Below are 9,006 nucleotides of genomic sequence, written 5' to 3' on the forward strand. Positions count from 1 at the left end.
CACATGTATACATATGTAACAAACCTGCACGTTGTGCACATGTACCCTAGAACTTAAAGTATAATAATAACAATAAAAAAAGATCTGGTCCAAACTGAAAAGCTGGCTCCAAAGGATGGAAGCACAGCAGCTCAGCCCCTTCTGAACCAAGGCCAGGTAGAGCCCAACATTCCCAGGACTGCAGGAAGACTCATGACCACCAGGTAGAGCCCAGAGCCTATTTCTCTCTCCCTCTTGCACTCTGATCCTGAAAGAACGGTGGTATCAAGACTGGAGACTCCTCCTCATTTGGTCGCTTTGGTGGCCCTCCCTAAATAGAGGAAGAGGCATCCTGATTCACAGCATCATGCAGTCCCAGGTGTGGCTGAGGGGCTGGCAGACCCCTTTCTGGCTGCAGATCCTGAAGGGCTCTATGGGGGCAGGGGAGCACACAGGCTCTGTGGTCCCAGAAGGCAAGCCAGGACCCAAGCAGTACAGGCTATTGTCAGGTTACAGGGGCATCATACTGCCAAATCTGCACTGCTTCTCAGGTTGCAAGATGCTTCCATGTCTATCTTCTTAGCTCAGGCTGTGGTGGGACATTTCAAAAGGCGGTGACTCCAAGATAAATCCTAGCAGAGGATGACCACCCGCCTACGACCACATTAAGAATTCCTCTAGTAGGTAAAGGTAGGAGGTGGCTTGGAGATCCCTCCCAGACCCAAGTGTCTGTGAGACCATCAGAGCCTTAGAGTCCAACTCTATCAAAAGTTTAGGGCACTAAATGGATAACCCCAAAGATCACATAAGAGGCTAGTTACTTCTGTGGAGTTCAGAAAAGACACCTACTTTCTTTCAGTCAGTTGTGTCCAACAATTTAGCTGCTACAACCCAGGTAGCAAAAGTCAAGCTAAAATTCCAGGCTGCCTTCCCCAACCCAGAAATTGAAAACAAACTTGCAAAATGTGAGCCCAGCAGAGCAAGATCTACAGCACTGACCCAGTGAGGAAACTAGGCCACCCAATGGGGGGTTACCTGCGATTGGCGCCTGAAAGTGAAGCATTCCAGGCTGAGCCTCCCGGGACACACACATCTCTGTCCGCTCAGTCTCCACACCATTAACAAGCGGAGATTTCCCTAGGCTGATCCTCGCCAGGTTCATTGGGCAGAAGGAAGTCGGCTTTCCAAAGACAAAGAAAGTCACTTCGCCCGGGAACTTGACATAGCCAAAGTGGGCCATCTTTCTTCTCTAGATTTTAAGACCTTTATGGCAGGGCTAGGGAGGTATATATAAAGAGGTCAAGGCTGGGTGTGGTGGCTCATACTTGTAATCTCAGCACTCTGGGAGGCCAAGGCAGGAGGATCACTTGAGTCTAGGAGTTTGCGTCTGCAGTAAGCTGTAACGCCACTGCACTCCAGCCTTGGCAACAGAGCAAGACCTTTTCTCTATTAAAAGAGGGATAGGTCACAGGGTGAGAATGGACACTCAGGGTCATTCTAGTCCAAGGCCCCATCTAGCACTTTGATGCTTGGGCCTCTCTGCAGCAGGAACAGAGACCACAGAATTGACTCTGCCAGTGACCAGGACTCATGAATGATTGCAATTCAGAAATGTTCTTCCATTGTGTTGAAATCTGCCTTTCATTTTCCCCCACCATATCTTCATTTACTCACAAATATTAATCATCTAAGCAAACATGGCGCCTGCCCAATCAGTCTAGAATTTTAATAGAACAACTATGGCCTCCTGAATCCCCAACTACCTGTACCTCCCTCTGTCCCTCTACTTCATCTCTTTTGGTTTCTCCTGCTGTGGAATGGCTTGGCAGGACTCTGTAGAAGAGTTGGGAGACCTTGAGAACACACCCCAAAGTGTTTGGTCATGAGACATTTGAGGACCAGGGCCCTGCCAGCTCACAGCTGCCCGAGGTCAATGAAGGGATGACCTGAAGAGAATAGGGCCTGAATTGGGTCTCCCAAGGGCCTGAACAAGCCCACTTGGCTGAGAAGGGAAAGCTCAGGGAATGGAGGTCATCACATTGTCAACAACTAGTGTTTCAACGACACGGGAGAGAAAGGAAGCTCCCATGAAGACATTAGTCCGTCTCCTTCCTTCGTTCTTGGGTCTTAAGGGAGCTCTGGTGCCATTTGGGATTTATTTTGTTTTGCTCAGGTAGGGATGGGGGAAGAATCAAATTGCCATATATTGTGATGTCCTTACACGTGACCACGCTGGTTTTCAAACGATGTTTGATGAAGCTCTGGGGAGTGCACAGAGCCCTTTAAGGGATGCTGGGGAGAGGAGCCTAGGGACAAGGTAAGCTACAGCCAGAGGCATCAGTGTCTTCTCCGTGCCCCTGTCCTATCAGAACAGCAGCTCTGAGTTTATCTGTACTATATGTGAGGCTTTTTGTTTGAAGAAAGTCCTCCGTGGATCTTTTCAGATGCCCTTGCTTTTTAAAACAGAAAATTTTTAAAGGACCTGAATTTCTGAATTGCAATCATTTCTGAATCATTTCTGAATTGCAATCATTCATGAGTCCTGGTCACTGGCAGTGTCAATTTCGTGGTCTCTGCTCCTGCTGCAGAGAGGCCCAAGCATGGGCCATGGAATGGGTTGGTGCTGTCTCCTGACCTTCCCACCAGAGTTCTTTTCATCTAATTCAGCAAAGCTCAAGGATCCCTTAAGGGTAAAAGGTGCTACACAAGAATCCTGAAAGAAGTGGAGGGCGAAAATGAATGGCAATTATTTCCTAATTGTGAACCATAAGATATGCAAATAGAGGGGCTTTTCCACAGTTGGAAACCACACAGTCCAGGCTTGGCCAGGACACCTGAGACCTGGGCAGGTACCTCTGCTGGATTGTTCCCAGGATGACTGATGACCCGACATCCTCAAGCCCAGCTTCAGGGCCCACTACAAGGCCCTACTACTGCTTCACTGCCCCAAGCCCACCTGTGGAATTGAACATAGAGTTTATCCTAAACGGAGTCACCTGGATCAGGTATGGAATCCTTCAACGATCCCAGGCCGGAAAGCCCTGGGCAGGGCCCCAGGTAGTGGCTGAGTCAGTGTGAGGAGGCATAGTGTCAGCGTCTAGCAAGTGCTCAAATCAATCATGAATAATTTTCTGGAAGCAGCTGAAGGCCGAACATATTCTTCAGCCATCAGATGTGGACTGTACGTTGTTTTTAAACTTATTTCGTTTTCTCTTTTGCCAAAAAAAGGGGGGAAAAAAAAAGACACAAGTTTTGGACCATGAAAACAACCCTGCTCCCTCTGCTCTGCAGCGCCTGGGCTTTTATTGGTGTTTTGTCTGCAATGGGCTTTGGCCACGTAAATGTGAACAAAATGAGGTAACTCACAAATCCTCTGGCTGCCTCATGGCTGAAGGCTAGTGCCTCTGAGAGTCAGCAGAAATAGACAGGCAGACAGGCGAGCACCCCAAACAAGTGGCTATGAGCCGGCAGCCAGCATGTTCCCCAAACCAGGGGGGTCAGACCAGGGGTCTGGAATGCAGTGGCTTGGGAAAGTGGGACAAGATCACCATCACTATTAGGATGAGGGACTTGCCTCACGGGCACCGTGGCTGTAGGCACTGGGTGTCTCTTGTGAACTACCCTGTCCCCTCCCAGCCACCAACTACCCCCACCATGCTGAGATGCCCTCTGCTCTGCCCTATCCTAACCCACCCCCATCATCTATTAGGAACACATGTTGGTGGGGGAGACTAGTTGGGGCTAAGGACAGGACCAGCTACATCACTGAAGTGACCCAATGCAAGATGAAAATGTGGGTCTTCTTGTTCACAACTTACTCAGAATTTCAAAATGGCAAAAGTCCCAACCTCTTTCAAGCATGGATGCCCAAGAAGTCAGGGGAGCAAGACAGAGACACGGGCAGGAGTGGGAACATCACGTAGGGTCTCTGTGATCAGGGCTGAGTAACAGCACTCTGTTCCTGAAATGCCCTCAGGCAAAGCAATAGTTCTGAGAGAAGTTCCACTTAGGAAAAGACTTTCTCAAGCTCATGATGCAGTGAGTAGCACAGATGCACCTCCCAGGTGAGGCCAGCCCTCATCCCATGCCGGCAGGGCCACCGGGGATGCTGCAGCCATGAGCTCAGCCCTCTGGTGGCCAGGGAAGTCCAGGCGTGAGCTTCAGACCCAGCGCCCCTCACCCAGCTGCTGCGGCTACCCACAGAGGGTGAGAACAATGGGTCATCCTTACATGCCCAGGCAGGTCAGCACCAGGCAGCCTGTCCCCTCCCAGCCACCAACTACCCCCACCATGCAGCCTCCAAGGAGGCACCAGGGCATCTCAGCAGCACAGGCTCAGTGCTGCAGGAAGGGCAGAGGTAGGTCACAGGCTGGGAAGGCCATTAATGACTCAGGTACCCTATAAGCACCGGGTTTCTGGGAAGCTGTCCCCCTGTGGCCTGACACCAATCCCTCCAAACCCTGCCTCCTCCCCTCCTTTGTCCAAAGAGGCAACATGAAGTCGGGCAAAAAAGTCTGATCTCAGCCACATCACTGACCCACTGTGTGATCCTCGAAAGACACCCGTCTCAGAGACTATTTCTTCTAAAGTAAAACCCAAAGTTGGGTTATATGATGGCAAAGGCACTGCTGGTTCCAACACCACGATTCTTCCTAAGAGAACAAGTTATGTTGGCTTTCAGGGATCGAAGTTCAAGTCCTCTTGATAACACATGAAGGGATGAGGATGCATCACTTTACCTCCTTCCTGGCGTTTCTGGAGTCAACCTCCTTGTGAGATCCTAGGGCCTCTCTGCCCAGCCACAGGTCAATGGGAGCATCACACCACTGTGGTTTAATCTCACATTGTGGGAGCTGCCCCAGTCCAGGACTTGGCCGCGGAAGCAGCCAGCAACCCATTGTCCAGCTGGCAACGTGTGGGATCTCACACAAAGGCTATGTGGAAATTGCCCATAAAATCACTCTCTTGCTCCCCACCCAGCTCTCATGGACCCCACAGAACAATTTATAAAGCCCACGTGGAAAAGACTTCATCCACAGCCAACTCCCCACAGGCCCCAGGCTGGAACAGGCTCCAGCCCAGAGGGGCTGCTTCACTGCTGGGCGGGCCCCCCTGTGCAGGCCGGAGTGGCACAGCCTGAGAACAAAGACTTGGCAGAAGTGTAATGCCCCCAAAGCCATTTATCACCAATCGCCACCCCCGTCACAGAGCCAAGAGTGATATGATCATACAGTATTTCATAAATTGTGTCCAAATATCTATGATATTATACAAAGTGATGCCTCTATAGAATTAAAAAGTCAAATAGCATAGAAAGTTGTACAATGAAGAGAAAAATCCACCACCTAACATCAAAAGACTTATCTAAGAGAAGGTTGAGTCCCCACTCTACTGCTGGAGGAAAGGTGGTGTGACTTGTCCAGGGTCACTCAGCTGATCTGCAATGGAGCTCAGGGTCTCTGACTACCCAAGGCAACTGTTCCCAGTGGACAGCATTTAGTATGCTCTGTGTCCTGGTGCTGGGAGATCCAAAGTGTCCCCGGCCTGCTCCTGAACCCCACACAAGCCTGGAGGCATGGCCCACACTGAAGAAAAATGGAAGCCAGGTCCCGTGGGTCACACCTATGGTCCTAGCATTTTGGGATGCCTAGATAGGAGGATTGCTTGAGCCCAAGAGTTTGAGACCAGCCAGGGAAATATAGAAAGACTCTGTCTTTACAAAAAAAAAATAATAATAATAATAACTAAGTGTAATGGCACAAGCCTGTAGTCCCAGCTACACAGGAGGCTAGCATGGGAGGATCGCCTGAGCCCAGGAGTTCAAGGCTGCAGTGAAGTATGATCATGCCACTGCACTCCAGCCTGGGTGACAGAGAGAGACCCTGTCTCTATTTAAAAAAACAAAAAGGAGAAAGAAACATGGAAAAGAGGTGAGTTTTGGTTTTGGCCCTTATTTTGCACCTGCGGGGCCTGGTGTCTGACACCACATCCACCAATAGGTTCTTTGCTCCACGTGGAGCTCGCTTCACTTTGCCCAAGTATATCATTCCCGCTGAGCCCTCTGCAAGCTTTCCCAGTGAAGCCCTATTTGAAACTCTTTCATTCATCCCTAAAGCTCTTAAGCTACGGAACCCAGGTCTGGGCACCCTATCGGGCACACTGAACACACATCTGCAGATAACATTTAAGCCCCCAGGATTCTGAGCTAGGGCTGATGCCATGGTGGGGAAAGAAGGGGAGAAAGTTTCCAGTCTGACGTCTGGGAGATGGGGCCCGCCCCTACAATTCAACAAGTTTTGTTGAACAGAGCAGACTCAAGGGCAAAGCACAGCACATTATGGTTGATTGAGTGGAGAAAAAAGAGATGAATACCTCATTTGTGGACAAGATAAAATTGCCACACCACCCGGGCCTGAAGAAAACATCCAGCTGACTATGACAAAGGCAGCCTGGGGACCACCAGGGTCACCACCTGCTGGAGATGCAGAGGCTGCCCCAGCATGGCAGGTGACAGTGTCCTGAAGGCTCACATTCTGAATGAGAACCCTGCGCCATCTGGGCCTGTCCCCAGCCAAAGCTGTGCAATCTGGGACTAGCCCTGGGATCATTTGAACCACCAGAAGCACACACGATTATAGGATAGTGAATTTTAGGAGAGCTCAGAAGAGAAACTTTTATGACCTTAGACAGAATCATAGAGAAGGGGAGAAAGGGTATCTATGACCTAAACTTCTCCATGTCCTAGGCAAGAGGTCTCTCAGCAGCATCCCTGGCAAGCATCCATCCTCACCTACCTTAAACACTCCCTTCACAAGCACTCACTCCCCTGGAAGTCAGCACCTTCTTTAGCTGGAAGGGGTATTCCTTTATTTTTTTTTAATTTAGGTTAAAAACCAGTCTTTTTGGAATTACTGCTGACTGGCTGAAGTCCAGTCCCTTAAAGCAGTTTTTACAACTTTTTCTTCTGTAACATGTAACTGATGACCCACAAATGCATATCCATGGGCACCTGTTCATGCATTCATTCAACAAGTTTTGTTGAACATCTACTAGGTCCAGGCACTAGAGCAGAGTAGAACAGAAAAGAGACAAAAACTCCTGCTTCCTGAACGCTATATTTATTATTGTTTATAACACTAGTAAGTAAAATATACAGCATATCAGGTAGAGATAAGTTTAAATATAAATAAAGCAGGGACAAGACAGGGGAGTACTTGGGATACCTGTTTCTATAGAGCAGGCTGGAAGATCTCATTAGCAAAGGCCTGAAAGGGGAGGGAGACAGCAAGCCATGCAGACATCAGGAAGAAGGGCAAGCCAAGCAGCGGGAGCAGTAAGTGCAAAGGCCCCAAGGCAGCAAAGCTGGGCACAAATGGAATAGGCTTCAGGTTGGGCACAATTCTATGGAGTCTAGTCACCCTTAGCTCGCCACCCTAGAAAGAGCTGGGAATGCCCGGCAATGAGGAAACATTGCAGAGACGAACCTTGCATCTGCTCCAATTTTTTTATTTTTATTTTTTCAAGATGAAGTTTCACTCTGTTACCCAGGCTGGAGTGCAATGGCGCAATCTCGGCTCGCTGCAACCTCCGCTTCCTGGGTTCAAGTGATTCTCCTGCCTCAGCCTCCTGAGTAGCTGAGATTACAGGCACGCACCACCAGGCCCACCTAATTTTTGTATTTTTAGTAAAAACAGGGTTTCACCATGTTGATCAGGCTGGCCTCAAACTCCTGACCTCAAGTGATCCGCCCATCTTGGCCTCCCAAAGTGCTGGGAGTACAGGCGTGAGCCACTGGCACCCGGCCCTGCATCTGCTCTGACTTCTTAAAATGCATGAGTTATTTATCATTAGCAACAAATTTGCCAGCAACACACCTCACAATGAAGAAAGCTCCCCAATGCATTACCACACGGTGGCCGAGAACAGCTGTCCTAGAGACAAATGCACCCAGCCTCAGCCTGAGGATGTTCTTTGGGGAAGAGGAGAAACACTCAACACCCTGCACTGTCCCCCTTGTCCCCTTCCAGCCCACTCTAGCTTGTCTAGGTCAATCATTCCTCTCCATCCTTTTCTAAATCATGATGTGCAGCCCACAACATGAATGATGGAGAAAAGGCACACCGCACATCCGTTCACACACAACTCGGGTTGCCTTAACCCAGACGCCTGACCTCCATGTTGGGGAGCTGGCGCTCTGGACTGCCCTCCCTCCTTGTAATTCACGTCACCTCCAATACCAGAAACATGTATCATACAGATCTTTTCCCTTTTTTTTAAGATGTTCCCAAGAAAATCTGCGTTTAATTTATGGGCAATTTATAATGGAAATAGACCATATAAAATGTATACAAATGTGTAGGCCTGTCTATAGGGCTTGGAAGGAGACGGTTTAGCTTAGCAATAATTAACGTGAAGGGTCTCTTCCCTGCTGCCAGGTAGACATTTAGACTGCCTGGACTTTCATTAAACTTAAACCAGAAAGGGCTCAAGGGCCAAGGTCCAAACATTCCTCAACTCCATGGAGGACGTCAGGACACGTAGCTGACGACAATACATTTCACCAGGGTTGCCAAAGCCCTGCTTAAGTTGAGAAGATGCCTGCATTGCGTTATCGGACACAGGATGCCAGCCTGTGTACCATAATCAGTTTTCCAGAGAAACAAAGCCATCTCCAATGCCCCAAACCAGCGTGAGGCCACAGGGTTTGCAAAGCAGTCAGCAGAGACACAGGGCACCTCTCTGTCCCCACACCTGGTTCTTCAGGCCTCTAAAGACAGCTGCTGCTCCCAGCACAGGGCCGCCCCGCTTAAGTCAAAGAAGAGTTACGGAGAAACTCAGGGTTGCCAAAAGCTATTTCCAGGGGACTTTGATCATCTGATGCTGTAATCTCTGAAGGGAAACATACTTCATTTAGAAGGTATTCTTTGGTGTCATTCCCAAGGAGAAGGCATACTTGTTTTTGGAATAGCAGAGCACTTACTTTCTCTCTCTCTCGCTTTTACTTGATCTCCCTCCCGCTCTCTCCCA

At 49.3% G+C, this 9,006-nt stretch overlaps 1 annotated feature.

Annotated features, from left to right (window-relative positions):
• Positions 3,659–4,411: an enhancer, noted in NCBI's record as "H3K27ac-H3K4me1 hESC enhancer chr2:20050625-20051377 (GRCh37/hg19 assembly coordinates)". NCBI's record gives its function as "activates a minimal SCP1, AML or CMV promoter by ChIP-STARR-seq in primed H9 embryonic stem cells {active_cell/tissue: H9 hESC(primed)}" and the evidence as "EXISTENCE:reporter gene assay evidence [ECO:0000049][PMID:30033119]".

The sequence above is a fragment of the Homo sapiens genome, chromosome 2, assembly GCF_000001405.40.
Source record: "Homo sapiens chromosome 2, GRCh38.p14 Primary Assembly".
NCBI classification, from domain to species: Eukaryota; Metazoa; Chordata; class Mammalia; order Primates; family Hominidae; genus Homo; species Homo sapiens.